The following is a 22,676-nucleotide window of genomic DNA, read 5'->3' on the forward strand; positions in this document are numbered from 1 at the left end:
CCTCCAATATATTCCTCGTTAGGGCAGGCGCGGCCCCTTCGGCTCCGAGCTGACCCTGATCAGGGCCGAGTTGTCTCGGCGGCGCTGCCGAGGCCTCCACCCAGGACAGTCCCCCTCCCCGGGCCTCTCTCCTCTTGCCTACGAGTCCCCTCTCCTCGTAGGCCTCTCGGATCTGATATCGTGGGGTGAGGTGAGCAGGCCCGGGGAGGGTGGTTACCGCTGAGGAGCTGCAGTCTCTGTCAAGGTGAGTGGGACTGCGCGGGAGTTGACCGCCAGGTGCGGGTGGGGAGCTGGGTTGGGGGCGCGGGGCGAGGAGTAGGTCTGGCCCGCGCCCTTTTCCACACTAAACTCTACCGCTGTTGTGAGCACAAGCCCAGGCTAGTCCGAGGCTGGAGGGGCGGAGCCGGATCCGGCCTCCTGAGGTGCCTTTCGTGTCTGCCGACCCAGTCCCAGGGACTAGCCTGGGGAGGAAGAATGGAACCCCTGCAGTTAGAGGTTCCTCACATGACTAGCTCTGAAGACCTCCTGCCTTCCTGTCTTTAGTTGGTGTGGGAGGGACCTTCCATGTATCCAGGGCTTAGCTTGTGCCCGGGACATGGTTGTGTTATGCACACTTAAATCAATGGAATTCCCAGGTTCATCTTTCAGACTAGGTTAGCAACAACCCACCGCACCCCCCCGCCCCAATACGTGCTCCTAATGTCACCTTTTAAGTTTCCTTTCCTAACAACAATAAAAGTTAAGTAATATTGAGTATTGTGTGCCAAGCACTGTGCTATACTCTTTAAGTGGTGAATCATCTTGTTCAGTCTTCACATTCAGCGACAGATATTGTTACCCTCATTTTATAAATCTAGAAAGAAGCTCAAGCTCATTATTATTGTTCAGTGTTTTTTAAGCGTCTACTGTATGTGCTAAGCTCTTTACGTGATTTCATTTTAACTCACAAATCTGTGAGGTAGGTCATAAACCTTATCCCTACTTTATCAATGTGGAACTAAGTACAATTAAGTAACTTGAACAGTTCATTTTGTTAATATGTGGCAGAATACTTAACTACCATCTGCTTTTCACTTTCGGTATCCTGTCTTACGGTGTTTATTCGTGGTTATCTATTGACAGTGAATAACTTGAACAAGTATTTCTTGAAGATTTGCATTTTATTTTTCTAAAAAGCATGGTTCCGACCGGGCGCGGTGGCTCACGCCTGTAATCCCGGCACTTTGGAAGGCCGAGGCGGGCAGATCACAAGGCCAGGAGACCGAGACCATCCTGGCCAACATGGTGAAACCCCGTCTCTACTAAAAATATAAAAATTAGCTGGGCGCGGTGGCGCATGCCTGTAATCCCAGCTCCTCGGGAGGCTGAGGCAGGAGAATCGCTTGAACCAGGGAGTCGGAGGTTGCAGTGAGCCAAGATCGTGCCACTGTACTCCAGCCTGGCAACAGAGCGAGACTCCTTCTCAAAAAAAAAAAAAAAAAGCATGGTTCCTTCCCTCTAGGAACTCAATTTAGGATGTGACCAACTTGTAGAAGGGAAATAAATAACAGATGGCACTTTGCAATGACTTAGATGCACTAGCCGCATTGGGGGATGGGAGGCTTATAAATCATTTCTTGGCCCAGTGCAAAGATGGCCAAGGAAAGCAGGAAGGACTACTCTTACACTCCTTGCTGGTCTTTTTTTCTATATATAGATGATAGAGGTACTGACAACAACTGACTCTCAGAAACTGCTACACCAGCTGAATGCCCTGTTGGAACAGGAGTCTAGATGTCAGCCAAAGGTCTGTGGTTTGAGACTAATTGAGTCTGCACACGATAATGGCCTCAGAATGACTGCAAGACTAAGGGACTTTGAAGTAAAAGATCTTCTTAGTCTAACTCAGTTCTTTGGCTTTGACACAGAGACATTTTCTCTAGCTGTGAATTTACTGGACAGATTCCTGTCTAAAATGAAGGTATGTTTGAAGCTACATTTTTGTAATTTTGCTCAGTGTGTTTTGGAGATGGAATTGTTACCTTTTGGCTGGTATTCATAAACTTGACCTTTTTTTTTTCAGCACGTAGCCAAAACATTAATTTTGTCTACTACAGCATTAATATTTCTTATCATAATCAAGAGTAGTACATCAGGTATTAGACTTAAATTCTGAAATGAAAAATAGTCTAATATCAAGTAACAAATTGCAGTTTCCTAGTAAGAAAATTGGCTGTTTTTAAAAAACCCTTCTTGATAGGTTGGATTTGTCCATTTATTTACTATTTTTAGATATAAACAAATTTATTAGTGGCAGAAATTTATTAGAGGCTACATTGTGGCTAAGAATTAAGATATATTTGTTAATCACTACCCATATATAAAATTGTAAATGTTTTAGCCTTAGACCTAGTCAAGACTTGCTTATGCTTGGCATTTCCAGCTTCAGTGTACATGCAGTAGGGAGGAGAGTGTGTCTGAAGGAGGAGCAACTATTTTCCTATACTAGATAAACAAGACTGTCACTTTCAGAGCTTAACTGTTACAAATGCATCTGCCTTTCCTGTACACCCATGGTCACTGGAGGAAAATAAGATGATGTGACAATTGGAAGGAAACTCATATTTTAGTCCTCGGTATCTAACACAGTGCATCATAAAAAAGGACTTCAATATTTGTTGAAGATTCAAGAAATTTGCTTCAACAGACTAATTAAGCTCTTTAGACATTTCACATGTAGTCATTACCTTTGAATCTGTAAATGTTGCACAAATGAATAATATACAGCTATTCCTCAGGTATAATTCAGTCTTATGTGAGAATAAGATCGTTGCTCTTATGTACAAGTCATAATAAGAAAAATAACTACATTATGCCTTTAAAGAGGCATAAGTGTACTGCTGAAGAGTTTACAAGAAGAGAGAGAGCACAGAGATATTAATACTGGTAAAAGCTTAGTTTCATGTGAGCTGGAAGTAAACTGGATAAAGTTTTGACTGTGTCTCATACGGCAGACATTCAGAAAATTAAATGATAAAGATTAGTAGTGGATAGAACTCTTAGAGGCAGAGTAAACAGTATATGCCATAGTATTTTAAAACTGTTTTATATGTGTTCCCACAAAGACAAGAGCCTGGAAAAAATACAACATCCTGCAAAGAAATGGCTTATTTTGTAAATAAGCCATAAAGTATTTCAGTCCTCATATATCTTTGACTAGTTAACTTATTTGATCAAACTAGAACAATGTTTACTTATAGTTCTACAGTGATTAATAAAAACACACTTTTTCTATGCTGAGCCAAACATTATACTGAAACTCAGTCCAGTTACTCAAAAATTGGTTCTAAGTGGGGTCCATAGTGTTGACAGGCTATAGTTTAGGTATGAGTGGATTGTGTTAAGTCCATCACAGCTGAGAAATAAACCTCAAATATACATTTTCAAAATGTTGGGTCGGAGTTCTAGATTATCCTTTATGTTTTAATTGAAATAAGGTAGAGTCATGGGCTTACTGGTTTTGTTTTTGATTTTTTAGGTACAGCCCAAGCACCTTGGGTGTGTTGGACTGAGCTGCTTTTATTTGGCTGTAAAATCAATAGAAGAGGAAAGGAATGTCCCATTGGCAACTGACTTGATCCGAATAAGTCAATATAGGTTTACGGTTTCAGACTTGATGAGAATGGAAAAGATTGTATTGGAGAAGGTGTGTTGGAAAGTCAAAGCTACTACTGCCTTTCAATTTCTGCAACTGTATTATTCACTCCTTCAAGAGAACTTGCCACTTGAAAGGTAAGTGACCTTTGTTTTGAACAAGAGACATTTGGAAATCAGAATGGTATTGTATGGATATTGCATAAAATCAGTATCCTCATAGAATTCTAATAAAAATAAGTAAAATGACAGCTGTGGCTCCTTGAACTTTAATGTCCATCATAAGTGAGAAAATGTTCCATTGTCAATAGCTTCGTTAAAGCTAATTCTTGGGATTAAAGTACATTTTGACTTTATAGAACCTAGTAGGAAAGCATCTAACACAAATTTATGGAAAAAAAGGACCTTCAGTGGATGTTGAAATATTTATTAAAACTAAAAGAAAATAAATCTTGTATTTGTGGCATAGTACTATTCATTTTAATTTTTTGGCCCAAATCATCTAAAACTCCCATATGGTGCCTTTAGAAGTTAGTATCTCTGATGGAAGGGGAATTCCTTTCAATAGTTCATTTGCTATGTTAAGTGTGCATAAGCTTTACTTTAAAAATTGACTTCAATGTTTTTCTAAAAACATCTTTTGACTAGATGTAGTATTACCTAATAAAAGTAATACCATTTTCTTTTTAAAGGAGAAATAGCATTAATTTTGAAAGACTAGAAGCTCAACTGAAGGCATGTCATTGCAGGATCATATTTTCTAAAGCAAAGGTAAATATTTTATAAAGATTATGCCTATTGATATGATCTGTTTTTATATTTGGCATTTACTTTAAATTTATCTCTTTTAGCCTTCTGTGTTGGCATTGTCTATCATTGCATTAGAGATCCAAGCACAGAAGTGTGTAGAGTTAACAGAAGGAATAGAATGTCTTCAGAAACATTCCAAGGTATGTGAAGGACATAGCCTAAATCCTATTAACAGCTGTAAAAGAAACTAAACCCCTTCTATCTCCTGAAGTAAAATGAGATGTCATATGTTTATTTGAAACTTAAGTAGCTATCCTCAAATGTTTTTAATGAGCAAAGACACATGTTCATAGGATTGCATTTATTAATGTAGTTAAATAAGGTGGGACTTACTTGGAGTAATAATTTTTTAAAATTTATGTATGTACAGATAAATGGCAGAGATCTGACCTTCTGGCAAGAGCTTGTATCCAAATGTTTAACTGAATATTCATCAAATAAGTGTTCCAAACCAAATGTTCAGAAGTTGAAATGGATTGTTTCTGGGCGTACTGCACGGCAATTGAAGCATAGCTACTACAGAATAACTCACCTTCCAACAATTCCTGAAATGGTCCCTTAACTGGTAAATTTGGTCCGTTATTATTCTCCAGATAGAGAACATTTTCCAATGCCATAATTTTCAACTAAAGAAGAGTAATTATCTTCAAAATAAACAAAATGGAGTTGGAATAGTAAAGGGGGAGATGACATCACTGATCTAGTCAGCTAATATTTGAAGGCCTTTACTATATACAAGGTACAACATCTTAGGAGTAAGGAATTATCCAACCTCTGATACATACGTTAGCCATTTCATTAAATTTTCAGCTTAGAGAACAGCATCCTCCTTGTAGCACTAAAATCATGCTTTTTTTTAATTGCACATGATCTTGCTGTATGTATCTGACTGATTTAAAATTACATAAGCTGAGCAGGACAACAGCACCAAAAGTCTGAACCAAGTATGAACTAATTTGAGACTGTTAGCTTATAAGCAAAATCAATATGAACTTGGATATTGTACTTAAAAGAAAAAAAAGTAGGCCGGATGCAGTGGCTCACGCCTGTAATCCCAGCACTTTGGGAGGCCAAGGCGGGCGGATCACGAGGTCAGGAGATCGAGACCATCCTGGCCAACATGGTGAAACCCCGTCTCTGCTAAAAAATACAAAAAAATTTAGCCAGTCGCGGTGGCGGGCGCCTGTAGTCCCAGCTACTCGGGAGGCTGAGGCAGGAGAATGGCGGGAACCCGGGAGGCGGAGTTTGCAGTGAGCTGAGATCGCGCCACTACACTCCAGCCTGGGCGACAGAGCAAGACTCCGCCACAAAAAAAAAAAAAAAAAGAAAAAAAGTAGGATATGATAGATGGTCTCTACATTGGGTATCTGGAAACTGCCAGAGTGTGTCAACACTATACTAACCTATCATTGCTATAGCAGCTGGACTACTGCAAAGTAGTTATATGCATAAAAAATGTAAACTTGCTTTCTGCATATGTGATATACATTCTTGCCATATAAATTTCCTAACTCAGTGATGATTTATTCTACTCAAAACTAAATGTTAACATTTAATACATCTACATGTGATTATGAATATTAGATATGAACATTTCAATTTTCTTAGTAGTATTTAGGCAGACTGGCTTCTGTTAAGTTGGATTTTGTTTGTTTTCTTTATTTAAATAGGATTATTACAGCACCAAAAAACTTCTCTGAAGCCTTTCTCCACAACCTTGTTCTATGGATTCCATAATGTTACAATGGATTTAAGCTATGAAGCCTCAAAACATCACGAGATAAGCATGATGGTCTCAGACTTGGGAAAACTGCCTAATATTATGCTGTAGTGGAATTATGTTTAGATTTGAATTCATCTGTGAAGCATTCAAATCAAAGCTAAAAGCCTAAATGTGAAATGCTAATGACAAGCCTGAGAAGGTAAACTGTGAATCTTCATTTCTATCATTGATCTAACTTTAGATATTGGATCAATATATTTAGGTGGTATTGAAAATGCTATTGGAGGAGTCACACTAATACTATCAACTATCAGTCTTCCCACAGCTTCAATCACTGTCATTATTCTAATCCTACTCCTACTTAAATTTTAAGTTATGAGGTTTATGTCAAAAGCAACATTTCACAAATGTACTTTTAAGGCATAATAAGGGTTAACATTCTAGGCAGTATAAACACACCCCATAATGCAAGTAATAGGTAATCTAGAGATGTGGACTTTATTGCTATATGGGAATTACATTTAAATTTGAGGGCATTTTATATAAAGAAAAATACAGACCTATAAAGTTTGGCATATTCATTAAGTTATCTTTTAATATTTTTTTCTAGAAAACAGGTGACATTTGTATCTACGATAAAAATTTTTATACAGAACCTACTGCCTCAAACTGAATCCCATCAAGAAAACTAGTTTCTATTGTATTAGTAACTCAAAATAAATTATCACTTCGAAAACTTGCTTTCCCACACTAAGGTAAGTTCAGACTAGATTGAACACTCCAGAATTTTTTACTACAGACTGTTTTTAAGTTAGAAGTGATGGCAATTTTATAAATAGAGAATATACTTCCACTGATGCCCTTACTGTGCCAAAACAAAAATCTTAAGAAAAGCAAGTAGACACCTTCATAACTATGAATGAAGCTGCTGAAGTAGTGTTTAGGATCCTCCATGGCAGTTAGTGAATGTAAGAAGTACAGTGTTAAAGTGTTGTAAACAGTTACTCAGTGCAATGTATAGCCTGAGTCTATCCATGATGGCTATATCCAATTTGACATCACGTTATGGATCAGTACACAATGAAAAACCAAAGAACCACAGTATATCTTATTCTTAACTTTTGTAAACCATGTTTTATGGGTAACTTTTTAGTTTTCCCAAAAGGCTGATAAATTTCAATATTTTGAATACATCATTGTTAATTTTGAGTTGGCAGAGGTAAACTAACCAACTACCATTATGTTTTAGTACTAAGGGATATACCTTTCAATAAAGTTAATGAAATTCAATCCTTTGCTGGGTGGCTTTTTTCTCCTCTGATTTAATTAACTCTTTTAGCAATGTGTTAACAGAACATTATAAAAAGCTATCTCTACTCAGTATATTTAAATTTAGTACTAAAGTTAGATGCATAGTACCAGAAACAATAAAATCCCTATTAATAATATGACTATTAGATGACACTTTACTTTGTTTTTTCTGAAACATTATAAAAAGCTCTCTCTACTCAGTATATTTAAATTTAGTACTAAAGTTAGATGCATAGTACCAGAAACAATAAAATCCCCATTAATAATATGACTATTAGCTGACACTTTGTTTTGTTTTTTCTGAAACATTATAAAAAGCTCTCTCTACCCAGTATATTTAAATTTAGTACTAAAGTTAGATGCATAGTACCAGAAACAATAAAATCCCTATTAATAGTATGACTATTAGCTGACACTTTACTTTTTGTTTTTTCTGAGACAGGGTCACTCTTGTCACCCAGGCTGGAGTGCAGTGGCGCGATCTTGGCTCATTGCAGCCTTGGCAGCCCAGGCTCAAGAGATCCTCCCACCTTAGCTTCCGAAATAGCTAGGATTATAGGCACATGCCACCGCACCCAGCTAATTTTTTTTTTTTTTTTTGTAGAGGCAGTGTTGTCACTGTGTTGCCCAGGCGGATCTCAAACTCTTGGGCTCAAGTGATCTGCCCACCTCGTTCTCCCAAAGTGCTGAGATTACAGGCATAAGCCACCGTGCCTAGCCTCTAATGTTTTTTTAATAGACATAGAATGATGACAAATAATTGTTTAATGTGTATTAAAAGTTGGTGTTTATGCATTATTAATCCCTTTTATCACTTAGATTCATCACTGCTATGGATGCTATCCTTAATATATATTTACTTTTAGTTTCAGCCCACTTGAAGTTTTGTGCCAGCCTTCTTACCTAATTAAACAACACTTCAGCAGCGTGGTTGCTAATGCCAGGTAACCACCATGTGTTATGTTAGCCTGCTTGGATCAATTGTAATTATTACTGGAATTGAATTAATTAATATGATTTTGAACAGTTCATGTTCAAACTAACATCCTGTAAAGTAGACACTGCAAGGAGTTACTGATGAAAGAAAAGTTGTTCATAAAAGAAGCCTCCTTTTATAATTGACTTGCCTTAGACTTATTTAATAATGTTTCATAGTATTTTTTAAAAAGTATCTGAACCTTGTACATATTTACAATTATGAGACATCCTATCTAAAAATTTATATTTTCGATTTAACATTTGTGGCTGGCAGTGATAATTTTTACTCTCTGGTACTATGAATCATCTCATTAAAATCCTCTCAACTGAATGACATTATCCCAATTTGCAAATGAAAGAGAGACAGAGAACCTAATGATTTGCCCCTGGTCTATACCTGGTACTTGGAGGTAGGATTCAAAGCCAGGCAGTTCTGACTCCAGAGGCTGTGCTCTTAACCACTCTATACATTACCTCTCAAAATAAAAGATTAATTGGACTCAAGTGAAATTGCTTGTATAATTTTTAATCAAAACTATATGCTGGCCACATTAACTTCTGTGCTGTCATCATGATCATAGAATAATAACAACACTCAATTTATTTCTCTATACTAATAACTTTGATAAAATGTTATTATTTATTAAATCTATTTTTCAGAAACCAAAAAACAGTAAACATGAGTCAAGATGAATTAAAAGATAAGCCAATTTTTAAGGCCGAGCGCAGTGGCTCACACCTGTAATCCCAGCACTTTGGGAGGCCAAGGTGGACGGATCACTTGAGGCCAGGAGTTCGAGACCAGCATGGCCAACATGGTGAAACCCCATCTCTACTAAAAATACAAAAATCAGCTGGGTGTGGTGGCGCATGCCTGTAGTACCAGTTACTCCAGAGACTGAGGCAGGAGAATTGCTTGAACCTGTGAGGCAGTGAGACAAGATCACACCACTGCTCTCCAACCTGGGCAACAGAGTGAGGCTCTTGTCTCAAAAAATAAATTAAAAAGCCATTTTTATATTCATCAAAGTAGAGTTAGGAACAACCAAAATTGCCAAGGATAATTAGGGACATTATATAATGATAAAATTCACCAAGACAGTGCTAAAAGTGTAAGCACTTATTATCAGATCTTAAAAATACATGAAGAGACCAGGTACAGAGACTCATTCATTCCTGTAATTCCAATGCTTTGGGAAGCCAAGGTGGGAGGATTGCTTGAGGCCAAGAGTTCAAGACCAGCCTACTCAACATAGGGAGACCCTATCTCTACAAAAAATCAAAAATTAGCTAGGCATAGTGATATACATCTGTAGTCCTAGGTACTGAGGAGCCTGAGGTGGGAAGACTGTCTGAGCCCAGGAGTTTGAGGCTGCAGTGAAGCATGACAGAGTTGCTATGCTCCAGCCTGAGTGACAGGGTAAGACTCAAAAAAAAAAAAAAAAACATGAAGCAAAAAGTGGTAGCATTAAAAGGAGGACTGGACAAATCTTCATTTACAGTTGGAAACTTAAACATTCCTCTCTCAGTAGTCCATAGAATTAATAGAAAATTAGCAAAGATGTAGGAAAATGGAATAATACTAATAACCAGCTAGATTTAATTGACATAAAACCCTTCTACCTAAAACAGCAGAATAAGCATTCTTTTCAAGTACACATGGAACACTCACCAAGATAAACCACATCATGGGTCTTAAACCTTAACAAATTTAAAAGAGATGAAATCATATAAAATATGTTTTTTGACCATAATCTAGAAATCAGTAACAGCAAGAAAATCTCCAAACACTTGGAAATTAAACAACACATTTCTAAATAACTCATGATACTACAGGGAAGTCTTAAAAAATATTTTAAAATAAATGAAAATATCACCGTGCTTGGAATGCAGCCATGCTGGTGCTGCAATTTATAACAATCGACTGCTTTTTACTAAACAAGAAAAAGTTCTCAAATTAACACTCTAAGCTCCCACTTTAAGAAAGTAGGAAAATCTAACTGGGTGTGGTGGCACACCACTATAGTCCCAGCCACTCAGAAGGCTGAGGTAGGAGGATCATGACCCCACGAGTTTGAGGCTGCAGTGAGCTATGATCATAACACTACTCCAGTCTGGGTGATGAAGTGAGACCTGTCTACAAAAAAAAGAAGCCCAAACTAAACCTAAAGCAAGCAGAAAGAAGAAAAAAAAAAAAGAGGCAGAAAATAAATGCAATTGTAAACAAATTAATAGAAAACAATCAAAAAACTAATTTTTGAAAAGAGCAGTAAAATTGATAAACCTCTGGCAAAATTGACAAAAAAAGAGAAGGAATTCCAATCTTTGATTCCAATCTTAGGAATCAAAGAAAAGATAACAGTATAGATCCTCATTAGAACGACACAAAGAAAATACCATGAACAACTCTATGCACATAGGATTAGATGAACCAATTCCTTGAAAGGCATACAGTACCCAAACTTAAATAAACCTCAATAAATTCTCTATTTTTAAAAATTGAACCATTGTTTAAAACCTTACTAGCAAATTCATAAAACATTTAAAGATATAACAAATTCTACAAATCTCTTCCAGAAAGAATAATCACTTTGCAATTCATTTTACAAGACCAGAATTAACATGATACCATACCAAGATAAAGATAACACAAGGAAAAAACAAACAAAAACAATTGCACAATATCCAAAATGAACACAGACATAAAAATCCTCAAAAAATAAAAATCTAGATACATAAGCTGAATAATGTACCATGACCAAGTTTGGGGTTGGGAGGAAATATAAGCTGTTTCAAAATTCTGGAATCAGTAAAATCCATGATTTTAACAGTCTAAACAAAAAGAATGACCAAACTGATACAGAAAGAGCATAGAAAATTCAGCATCCACTCATGAAACTCTGCTAACAACAAATTAATAGATGGGAACTTGCTCAACATGACAAAGGGAATTTAAGAAAAGCCTACAGCTTGCATACATAATGGTCAAAAACAATGCTTTCAAAATCCTAAGATCCAGAACAAGACTGAGATGGCCACTTTCTCCATGTTATTGTTCTGGCCACTGCAATCAGGCAAGAAAAATCATAGACTAAAAAGAATAAAATAAAACTGTTCCTATTCGTAGTTTATGTAGAAAACTTAATGAGTTAACAACAAAATCAGGCAAGAAAAATCATAGACTAAAAAGAATAAAATAAAACTGTTTCTATTCGTAGTTTATGTAGAAAACTTAATGAGTTAACAACAAAATAACTCCCAAAACTAATGAAGTTTAGCAAGGTCACAGGATACAAGGTCAACAAACAAAAATCAAACACATTTGTACATACTAGCGATGTGCAATTGGAAACCCATGTTTCAAAAATAATACAACTTAACAATAGTTCCTCCAAAATGAACACTGTGGAATATATGCTGAAAAATGACATAAAATGCTGATAACTGAAATGAAAGAGGTCCTAAATAGATACCTCATGTTCATGGATTGGAAGACACAAAATTGCATTCAAAACCCCAGTAGGATTTTTTGTAGATACAGAGTAGCTAATTCTAAAATTCATATGGAAGGCAAAGAAACTAAATTAGCCAAAACAATTTTGAAAAAGATTTCAAAAAAATTTTGAAGGAATCATGCTGCCCAGTTTTAAGACTTACTATAAAGCTGTGATAATCAAGGCAATCTGGTATTTATGAAAGGATAAACACATAGATCGATGGAATAAAGTCCAAAACCAGACTCACATAAATAGCAATTGATTTCTGACAAAGGTGAAAAGACAACTCAATGGGGAATGGAGAGTTTTTCAACAGACGATTTTAAAACAACTGAACATCCATATGCAAAAAAATAAACCTACCTAAATTTCACAGCTTATACAAAAATTAACCTAAAATGGATCACGGATCTAAATGTAGAACTAAATTTATAAAATTTTTAGAAGAAAAAAATCCATAGGCCGGGCACGGTGGCTCATGCCTGTAATCCCAGCACTTCAGAGGCTGAGGCGGGCAGATCCGTTGAGGTCAGTTCAAGACCAGCCTAGCCTATATGGTGAAATCCCAACTCTACTAAAAATAAAAAATAAAAAAAAAATGGGCTGGGAGTGGTGGTGCACACCTGTAGTCCCAGCTACTTGGGAGACTGAAGCACAAGAATCACTTGAACCCAGCAGGCAGAGGTTGCAGTGAGTGGAGATTGTGCCACTGCACCCCAGCCTGGGTGACAGAGTGAGAATGTGAGTCAAAAAAAGAAAAAAGAAAAATTCCTCATGACCTGGGGTTAAGGTTCCTAGACATGACACCAAAAACATGATCCACCAATGGCATGATGGATAAGACTTCATCAAAATTAAGTCTGTGCTTCAAAAGACACTATCAACAAAGTAAAGAGAGAATAGGAGAAATTACAAATCATATACCTGGTAAGAGACTTGTACCCAGAATATATAAAGACTCTTACTACCCAATAAGACAACTAAAAAAATGGGTAAATAATTTGAATAAACACTGCTTTAAGGAAGATACACAAATAGCCAATAAGCACAAGAAAGAATGCTCAACATAGTATCAGAGAATAGCAAACCAAAACTAGATAGAGATCCCATTTCATATCCACTAGAGTGACTAAAATCAAAATGTCAGGTAAACAAGTATTGGCAAGGATGCAGAGAAAATGGAACCTGCATACACTGCTGGTGGGAAAGTAAAAAGATGTAGCTGCTTTGGGAAACAATGACAGCTCCTCAAATGATTAACATAGTTATCATATAACCTAAAAATTCTACTCCTAGGTAAGAAATGAAAACACATATGCACATAAAGACTTGTACACGTTTATAGCAGCTTTAGTCAGGACAGCCAAAGGGTGGAAATACCCAAAATGTCCAACTTACAAATGTATAAACAAAGTGCTACAGCCATACAATGAAGTATTTTCAGACATACTAATGAATGTGCTGATACATGCTCGAATATAGATGAACCTCTTAAGACATGTAAAGTGAAGGAAGCCAGTAACCAAAGACCACGTATTATGATTCCATGTACATGAAATGTCCAGAATAAGGAAATCTATGAGATGAAAAGAGGTAGTATGGATGGCGGGGGATGACAGGAGAAGGATAAAAGCTAAACTATACAAGGTTTCTATCTGAGGTGATGAAAACATTCTAAAATTGATTATTGGAATGGTTGCATTTATCTGTGTATATACTAAAAGCTACTGAATTACACACCTTAAATGGGTGAAATGTATGTTGTTACAATAAAGCGTTTTTCTTAATTATATATGATCCCATTTATAACATGCTTGAAGACAAAAATATGGAGATGGGGATTAGATCAGTGGTTTCCAAGGTTTAGGGGCTGGGAGTAGGGTGTGTAGAGTACAAAGAGAGCACGAGAGTTTTTACGGTGATTGAACTCTTCAATACTCTGACTGTGGAGGTGTTTACACATATCTATACTTAAAATTCACCAAACCATACACCAAAAAAGTTAATTTTACTTTACTCAAAAAATTTTGTTAAATGTCAAAGAGAATAAAATTAAAAGAAAAATAGCCTCTTCCCCCGACAATTCATTCCTAAAATGAGCAAGATAGGAATCACAGGGTGAATGGACTGCCATGGCCTGGAGTGAGGTATTAGGGTCCAGGCAGGATGAGGAGGACATTCCTGCTCAGCATAGGATGCGAAGCCTAAGCAGGGTGAGGAAGACATTCATGTGGGGAGATGACCTACAATAGAGAATCAGGCCAGGCGCAGTGGCTCACACCTGTAATCCCAGCAATTTGGGAGGCCCAGGCGGGCGGATCACCTGATGTCCGGAGTTCGAGACCAGCCTGACCAACATGGAGAAACCCCGTCTCTACCAAAAATTAAAAATTAGCCAGGTGTGGCAGCGCATGCCTGTAATCCCAGCTACTTGGGAGGCTGAGGCAGGAGAATCGCTTGAACCCAGGAGGCGGAGGTTGCAGTAAGCCGAGATCGCGCGACTGCACTCCAGTCTGGGCAACAAGAGTGAAACTCCACCTTAAAAAAAAAAAACCCCACAAATAATCAAATAGGAATCAGGTTTCTCACTGGTACTGAAAACGGTTATAAATGTGGAGAAGGAAAAAATGAAAATGAAGCCCATGGGATCAGAATTTATATGTGAATTCATGGTTTTCAATATACATAGATGCAGAAATATAGATGTAAAGACATGCATTATATATACACACCAACGGCAATTGCACACTAGCACAGATCTTGGCTTTTAAATATTACTCACTAAAGAGAACCCAGGCTCTACGGAAAAATGGCTGATTCTTGGGTTAGGTCGAGGACAGCATGAGAAGCCTGGTATATCTTATGCCAGAGAGTAACAAATTCATTGAATAATGATGGGAATGTGTCAGAAGGACACAGAGGCCACCCAGAATGGACTTCTACCAGCCAAATGTACAATAATTTTGAGCACCAATGTAATGATAATAGGTTTTTTAACCTGCTGAATAAAATAGAAAATAATGAGTTTATAGAGATACGATAAATTTAAAGTCTGATCAGAAACAAGGTAGTATTTTGCAACTATCTTCTCAAGAAATAATTATAAAAATAACTACAGTGGAGAAGTCTGGCAGACACTACCTTAATCAGTCATCTAAGAAACACCATCAGAAATGAGACAAACTGAAATTATTAAACAATGACAGGATGCACTTCTATCACATTCCTGCCAAAGATGAATAACCTCAATCTAATCATGAAGTATCAGACAGAACTCAAAATAAGGGGTGTTCTACAAAACTAGCCCATAATTGTCAAAAGTACTAAGTTGTAAAAGGAAACAAATGAGAATTTGTTCCAGAATGAAGTAAACTAAAGACAGCTGACATCTAAATGAAAGGCATGATTCTGACTGGATCCTCTTGCTATATGGACATTATTGGGACAATCAGTTCAATGTGAATGAAGTGAAGATCTGAGGATTAGAGGGTAGTAATGTGTCAACGTAAATTTCCTGATTCTAATGGTTGCATTGTAGTCATGTAAGATAATTTGAAGCAGATAGTAATCAGTAATGAGGAATCATGTCTTCAACTAAATCACAAATGGTTCAGAAAGAAAAAAATTATCTGTAACTTTTCTATGCATGAGATTTAAAATTTTTTCAAGAGTTAAAAAGGGCAAAAAATAAAAAGGACATAAATAGGATATTGAATAAAATGTCTATAGACAATTCCTACCTATATGCCTAAATCACTTACAATCAAAATGATGCCACTGATATACAATTAGTGACCTTACTTTGCTTTCTGCCACAAAGGACTCACCTAATTACCATGATCACACTTCTCTTTTGTGTTAATCCACTTCTATTGTTAGGGTTTTAACTATTTTTAAACTTCTTGACATAAAGTAATCCCTCAAGTAATAATATTCTAATTAAGAAATTTACATTAACTCTTAATTTACTTAAAATACATTTATGGACTTTTTCCTTTATTAAAATTGTTTTCAGCACTATAATTTTGTGTGAATTGTTATACTTAGACAAAGGGGTACACAATTCCTATTTAGAAAATTTTATTGAATATCATACTTATCAAAAGAAAAAGTTAATTTTCCCCAAAGGCACCCTTCATTTCACATGATCTATACTCTAATGTTCTTTTGTATTAAAAATATGGTTAAATATGGAATTAGTAAAATGCAGCATATAAAACTTCATGCTGAGCAAAAACAAGTCCAAAACAACTTTACCATATATCCATAGAATAGTTCCCACAGTACATTTCCTATGTAAATTATGTTTGAATGCAATTTTTAGAACCATTTTAAGATACATTTTGCAATCTGTTAACTGTAGGCATCCGCATTTTTCTTCCATTACATAATCTGTTTATCTGATTAAGTTGGCAATATCTGCTAGGATCCACAGAATGCAGGAAAAAAAGCAGTTATTTCTCAAGGTTTGAGAAATCTGGTCCACCTTTAGTGTAGTTTCCTGAGATTTCTGCTCCACTGAAGTCAAAACCAGGATTCTAAAAGATACAAACATATATATAATGAAATAAAACTTATAAGGAAAAATACAAGTACAAACTGGCAATTGATAAAAAAGGATATATAAATGACCAATAAATACATGAAAATATAACAGACTTCACTGTTACCACCAAAGTAATATTTAAAATTATGAGGCATTTTTCAACTCTCCCAGTTACAAATATTTAGACATCATATGTACACTACAATGTTGGCAAGTGTATGGGGAAACATATACTTCAATAAAAGTCTGTAGTTATATTTAATAGCTAGCATTTTTATTTTATTTATTATTATTTTTTTTGAGACGGAGTTTCGCTCTTGTTGCCCAGGCGGGAGTGCAATGGTGCGACCTCAGCTCACCATAATCTCTGCCTCCCAGGTTCAAGCGATTCTCCTGCCTAAGCCTCCCGAGTAGCTGCGATTACAGGCATGTACCACCATGCCTGGCTAATTTTGTATTTTTAGTAGACACGGGGTTTCTCCATGTTGGTCAGGCTTGTCTTGAACTCCCAACCTCCGGTGATCCGCCTGCCTCAGCCTCCCAAAGTGCTGGGATTACAGGCGTGAGCCATGGCGCCCAGCCTATAGCTAGCATTTTTTGAGAGCTTTCTATATGCCACACAAATTTCTAAGAGCTATACATATATAAGATATTTAACCCTCACAACAGTCCTGTGAAGTACTATGTCAGGCCTTAGTCTTTTTGGTGGGCTATTTCGTTTATCCAACAAACATTTGTTGAGCTCCTACTGTTTGGGAGACCATTAGAGGTATGTAGAATTCAAGAGTGAAAAAAAACAAAAATCCCTGCTCTAGTGGAACTTAACATTCTAGCAGGAGGAGACAAACCATAAATCAACCAGTACAGGGGCTGGCAGACTTTTTAAAAACTAGGTAGTAAATATGTTAGGCTTTGCAGTCCACATAGTCTCTGTCACAAATACTCAACTGTCTGAAAGACAATATACAAACAAATGAGCATATACGTATCCTAGAAAAGCTATAAAACAGGTAGTGGGCCAAATTTGGCCCAAGGGCTGTAGTTTGCCAACCGCTGATGTCGTGTTAAAAGTTGGTAAGTGACACAGAAAAAAAAAAAAAACAGGATAAGGGAAATAAAATTATATTTAAATGGGATGATCAAAGTATGCTTCATTGAGCAATGATATGAAAACATAAAAGTTAGCCAAACTGTGGGAGAAGAGCATTGCAGTCAGGATAGCAAAGGGATGGGCTGACATGTTCTTTAAGGAACAGCAAACAGGCCAGTATGGCAAAAGCAGAATCACTAAGAGGGATAGCTGTAAGGGAGGAGGTAATCAGGGAGATGATGGAATAACTGATCAGAAAGGGCCGAGAAATGACTTGCAGAGTTCTGAGAAGTGGCATGATGTGACTTGGATTTTAAAAGAACTGCTCTAACTGGCTGGGCGCGGTGGTTCACGCCTGTAATCCCGGCACTTTGGGAGGCCAAGGCGGGCGGATCACGAGGTCAAGAGATTGAGACCATCCTGGCCAACACGGTGAAACCCCACCTCTACTAAAAATACAAAAAAATTAGCCGTGCGTGGTGGCGGGAGCCTACAGTCCCAGCTACTCGGGAGGCTGAGGCAGGAGACTGGCGGGAATCCGGGAGGCGGAGCTTGCAGTCAGCAGAGATCGCACCACTCCATCTCAGAAAAAAAAAAAAAAAAAGAACTGCTCTAACTGCTATTTTGAGAAGACTATGGCAAGAGTAAAAGTGAGAAGACCAATTAGAACGTTATTAGAGTAATCAGGCAAGACATTAGAGGTGGTCCAGATCAGAATGGTGGTAGAGTTGGTGGTGAAAAGTGGCCAAATTCTAAATATATTTCGAAGGTAGCATCAGTAAGATTTCCTAATACATTGGATAGGGTATGAGAAAGATGTAAGAATCAAAGATGAGTCCCAATTTTTTTTGACCTGAACTACTAGTTTTCATCAACTGAGATGAAAAGGCTACAGGTAAAAACAAATATGGAAGGATGTTAGGGTGTTCAACTTGGACATGTTGAGCTTAATATACATTAGATAGCCAGGTGGAGATGTTGAATAGGCAACCGGGTATGCAGGTCCTAAATTCAGAAAAAAAGTCTAGGCTAGAGATATACATCTGGAAATCATTATCATAAAGACGTACATTATCAAGTGCTGCAATCTAGCAATTCCTCTCCTAGATATTTATCTTAAAGATATCTTAGAACACTTGAGTAGTTTCACAGAGATGAAAGCACAGCTTTCTTTAAAATAGAGAAAAATGAAGAAATCTAAATCATATCAAAGGCAAACAGCCAAATAATGATGACACATCCAAACTACAGAATCCTCTGAAGCAGTTAAAAAGAATGAGTTTTATACCTATGTATTAGTAGGGAAAGAGACCCACAGCATATTATTAAATAAAAAAGCAACAAGAAGAACAATACACACAGTGTGATCCTCCATTTATGCTAAAAAACAAAACAAAACAAGCAATAGCCAACATATGAGATGAAAATGAGATAGATGCATGGAATGGGGAGAATGGTGGTGAAGGGGCCTTTCACTTTTTACACTAGGTAAGTCTATATTGATTCAACTATAGTAAGAGTTTATTCATGCATTACTGATGTACATAAAAGTAAGCTTAAACTCACAAATCACAGCAATACAAATAAATTCCTCTCAAGAAAATCTTCCGAAAAATCAAATCCATACAAGAAAGGCCATTTTTCTAACAATTCACTTTAAAAATTCTTCTAGAAAATGTTTGTAACTTTTCATAATGACATTTGAGTTTTAATTTCAAATATTTATTTGATGATTTTTATATATTTAATTACACATACTCATACACTTCATCTGACTTACTTCTTTTTGGAATCTCTCTAATGTAAGCTTTCTCTGCATTTGGTCTTGCACCCAAGGATCCGCTGCATATTCAGATTCTAGTAGAGAAGTCCAACAATTTGCTGCATCTCTCTTTGTCTTTGTAAGAACAATACGAACCATTTTTCTGTCCTCTAAAAAAAAAACACACACACACACACGCACAAATAAATTAGAGTTCTTCATCAAGTTGTTTTTTTTTTTTTTGAGACAGTATCACTCTCACCCAGGCTGGAGTGCAGCGGCTTGATCTCGGCTCACTGAAACCTCCGCCCCCCGGGTTCAAGTGATTCTCCTGCCTCAGCCTCCCGACTAGCTGGGAATACAGGCATGCGCCACCATGCCCGGCTAACTTTTGTATTTTTAGTATAAACGGGGTTTTGCCATGTTGGCCAGGGTGGTCTCAAGAAGTTCTTCATTAAATTTTATATTTCCAAAAACAACTAACTAATTTTTTCTCCCCCCACTAGGTAACTTTGACATACAACGGTTTTCAACACATTTCTATTGCTTTATCTTTCAAAGCTGCAAAGACAAAAAAGACCTAATACAAAAGAGGAAAAGATATCAAGACAAAATTATTTTAATTTGATGAATTATAGTAATTACCCTTACCCAAAGTCCATGTTCCCTCATCAGCTATTGTAGAATCAAAGAGTTTGCCCTGAAAAATAAACATATAAGGTGCTAAAAATACAGAATTTAATTTTTATAAAGTTTTCATGATTAAGATTTACCTACTTTCCTACCTAATCCACATCTTATACCACCACTTCACCATGACATTTATAGGTGCACAACCCTAAATTTTCTCCCAGCAGGTAAAATGGAAACTAGTTTACACTGCAAGGGATATTTACTATGGCAAAGAACACAGAGCTCTCTAAAGAAAGATCAGGGCTCCTTAATTTTTAGAAGATACAGTAATACTGACCACTGGCCAAATGTGAAATTAATATCTGAAATGCTTTAATTCTACCAATTTAAATTAACCACAAGAAGGGATCTCCTGCTAAAACTAAAAAATGTTGTCTTTTTTTTTTTTTTTTTTTTTTTTTTTGAGACAGAGTTTCGCTCTGTCGCCCAGGCTGCAGTGGCACGATCTGGCTCACTGCAACCTCCACCTCCAGGGTTCAAGCGATTCTCCTGCCTCAACCTCCCAAGTAGCTAGGACTACAGGCGCCCGCCACCACGCCCGGCTAATTTTTGTATTTTTAGTAGAGATGGGGTTTCCCCGTGTTAGCCAGGCTGGTCTCGAACTCCTGACCTTGTGATCCGCCCGCCTAGGCCTTCCAAAGTGCCAGGATTACAGGCATGAGCTACCGCACCCGGCAAAATGTTGTTTTTAAAGTAAACTTTTAAAAACGTTTTAATCTTTTTGTTGGGCAATCGGCATTAAAAAAACTTTACGTATTCCAGATTTGATAGATTAGTTGTGACTAACTGTTCACAAACTCATGTTTTTTAAAAAAATAAACAAAATATAAATTTAAAAGAGACTGCACCAGGCCCAGTAGCTCAGGCCTGTAATCCCAGGACTTTGGAGGCCAACGTGGATTGCTTGACCCCATGGGTTTGAGGCTGCTGTGAGCTACAATCTCACCCCTGCACCCCAGCATGGGAGACAGGGACCCTGTCTCAATAAATATATATTTTTTTTTAAAGAGAGAATGCCTAAACTCAAATCCATTTTAATTTGTTGCCAAATTTAAGTTATAGAAAGTGAAATTAAATGTCACTAGGAAAAGCCCACATTTTAAAATATGTCAAAATTAGTGAGAAAAAAATCCCACTGGTCTATACGTACATCAGAAATCCCAAATTCAGCAGCTACTGCTAAATTCCGAAAGTTACTGGATTTACTAATTTATAATCGTAATCTAAAACCATTGTTGAGGAAACTATGAATTGTACAATTCAGAAAAGTAACTGAGATCCAAGCTGACATAATGTCTTTCACACGAATCTTGAGGCACTCAAAGCACCTCCATATACTGTAATATATATAATAGCTAATAGCTAACATATAGTATGAACTTATTACATACCAGTGAATACTCCAAGCTCTTCATACACGTGAATACCATGTTAAGCTCAAAACAATCCCATGAGAAGGGTACTATAACTACCTTATCTTGTGGATAAGGAAGATATAGAGACACTGAACAATCTCTCGCCCAAGTTTACAAAACTAGGAAACAAGTAGTCTCCCTTCACCATATTACACTGCCATCAAACATCTTGGGCATCTAACCTGAGAACTAAATCTAATTTCAACCTGTTAGTTTAATTATACACTTAACAAAGAAAAAGCGGGTCCAGATCCAAAGAGCATTGGTGAAAAGAAATAAAAGGAGTACTACTTATTTTATGCACACACCTCTTCACCACCTGCTTGACCACTCCACAAACATGCAGGATTTTCAAGCTTTTAGATGAGAAAACTAATCACCTGACATCATCTCTAAATTCTCTGCCCGTTATTCTATCCCTATTTTCTTTGTTGTCCTTTCCTATATTTATCTATTTATGAATTACGCTTCCGTACAGGAGCTTAACCTCTCCACTGCAGGTACGTTATCTGTTGTCTTCCTGCCTGTCTTCAGTGCACGGAAGAAATATTTGTTCCTTTAGCAACCTAGTTAATCTGTTCCCAGCTGAAGCCCGTCAGAGAAGCAGAAGCAGCAGTCTTAGTTTGAAAACTAAACACGAAAATAGGCTCCTCAAATTTCCACAACTCAGCACCTGCCCTGAAGAGGCGGGGGCTCTGACCAGACCCAAACCTGGTCAGTGTTATCCTCTTTCTCTTTCTGCCAGCCACAGGAGCCGTCGGGACACCCAACAGTCGTTCAGGGAAACGGGGCTGGGGGCGTCTGGGAAGAGGAAACTGAACACAAGCCCCGAGCTGCCGCTACCTTGAGGATCTCGCGGCCGCCCACCGACAGCGCCACATGCCGGCTCTGGAGGCCGCACTGGATATCCTGGGCGCGCGTGCCTGGCGGCACCTGAACTTCAATGAACACCTCCTCCAAGGTCTGGTACCACTGGCCCCACGGGGTCCCGCACGGTACCACCCCACTCCGCTCCTCAAACGGGGCCGACATAATCCAGTCCCTCCCGGCCGCGGCCGCACCAGGCGGAGCCGAGCGCACGCGCGGAATCCCACGCTTAGGCTACGCCTCGGCCTCTCCGCTCGGGTCACTGCGCATGCGCAGGAACGCAAGCTAGCGCTTTGGTGTGCGTGTTCGTTTTTCCCTTTGAATGGCCGTTTACGGCACCGGCAGGCCCCG

The 22,676-nt window shown here is 37.6% G+C and overlaps 2 protein-coding genes across 23 annotated transcripts, besides 3 other annotated features; one reads left to right on the forward strand and one right to left on the reverse strand.

The window, feature by feature from the left end:
* CCNG1 (cyclin G1) lies at positions 11–20,080 on the forward strand. 19 transcript variants are annotated; one of them, NR_157051.1, is made up of 11 exons: positions 11–99; positions 200–244; positions 1,697–1,786; positions 1,908–1,960; positions 3,518–3,771; positions 4,326–4,404; positions 4,485–4,583; positions 4,814–5,008; positions 6,114–6,365; positions 6,777–6,921; positions 9,116–10,639. NR_157051.1 is itself a non-coding variant. In XM_047417862.1 (8 exons), the coding sequence occupies exons 2-8, from the start codon at positions 1,697–1,699 to the stop codon at positions 6,178–6,180; spliced, it is 909 nt and encodes a 302-aa protein (XP_047273818.1). In that variant the 5' UTR covers positions 11–244; the 3' UTR covers positions 6,181–7,456. The 19 variants fall into 19 exon arrangements, 10 of the variants coding, with proteins under 10 accessions (XP_047273818.1, NP_001350947.1, NP_001350950.1 ...); NR_157052.1 differs by lacking the exon at positions 9,116–10,639 and adding an exon at positions 8,344–8,959 and having other exon boundaries at positions 1,697–1,960; XR_007058657.1 differs by lacking the exons at positions 6,777–6,921; positions 9,116–10,639 and adding exons at positions 8,344–8,421; positions 19,857–20,080 and having other exon boundaries at positions 11–244; positions 1,697–1,960.
* Positions 131–708: an enhancer, noted in NCBI's record as "H3K27ac hESC enhancer chr5:162864697-162865274 (GRCh37/hg19 assembly coordinates)". NCBI's record gives its function as "activates a minimal SCP1, AML or CMV promoter by ChIP-STARR-seq in primed H9 embryonic stem cells {active_cell/tissue: H9 hESC(primed)}" and the evidence as "EXISTENCE:reporter gene assay evidence [ECO:0000049][PMID:30033119]".
* Positions 400–599: an enhancer, noted in NCBI's record as "active region_23576". NCBI's record gives its function as "activates an Ori minimal core promoter by ATAC-STARR-seq in GM12878 lymphoblastoid cells {active_cell/tissue: GM12878}" and the evidence as "EXISTENCE:reporter gene assay evidence [ECO:0000049][PMID:35858748]".
* NUDCD2 (NudC domain containing 2) lies at positions 8,966–22,542 on the reverse strand. Of its 4 annotated transcripts, none has more exons than NR_138427.2 (4): positions 22,132–22,542; positions 20,002–20,050; positions 19,369–19,520; positions 8,966–16,490 (listed from the first exon to the last, which is right to left on the reverse strand). NR_138427.2 is itself a non-coding variant. In NM_145266.6 (4 exons), the coding sequence occupies exons 1-4, from the start codon at positions 22,488–22,490 to the stop codon at positions 16,407–16,409; spliced, it is 474 nt and encodes a 157-aa protein (NP_660309.1). In that variant the 5' UTR covers positions 22,491–22,542; the 3' UTR covers positions 8,966–16,406. The 4 variants fall into 4 exon arrangements, 2 of the variants coding, with proteins under 2 accessions (NP_660309.1, NP_001316920.1); NR_138426.2 differs by having other exon boundaries at positions 21,767–22,542; NM_145266.6 differs by having other exon boundaries at positions 22,302–22,542.
* Positions 22,259–22,508: an enhancer, noted in NCBI's record as "active region_23577". NCBI's record gives its function as "activates an Ori minimal core promoter by ATAC-STARR-seq in GM12878 lymphoblastoid cells {active_cell/tissue: GM12878}" and the evidence as "EXISTENCE:reporter gene assay evidence [ECO:0000049][PMID:35858748]".

Source organism: Homo sapiens, chromosome 5 (genome assembly GCF_000001405.40).
Source record: "Homo sapiens chromosome 5, GRCh38.p14 Primary Assembly".
In the NCBI taxonomy this organism is placed as follows: Eukaryota; Metazoa; Chordata; class Mammalia; order Primates; family Hominidae; genus Homo; species Homo sapiens.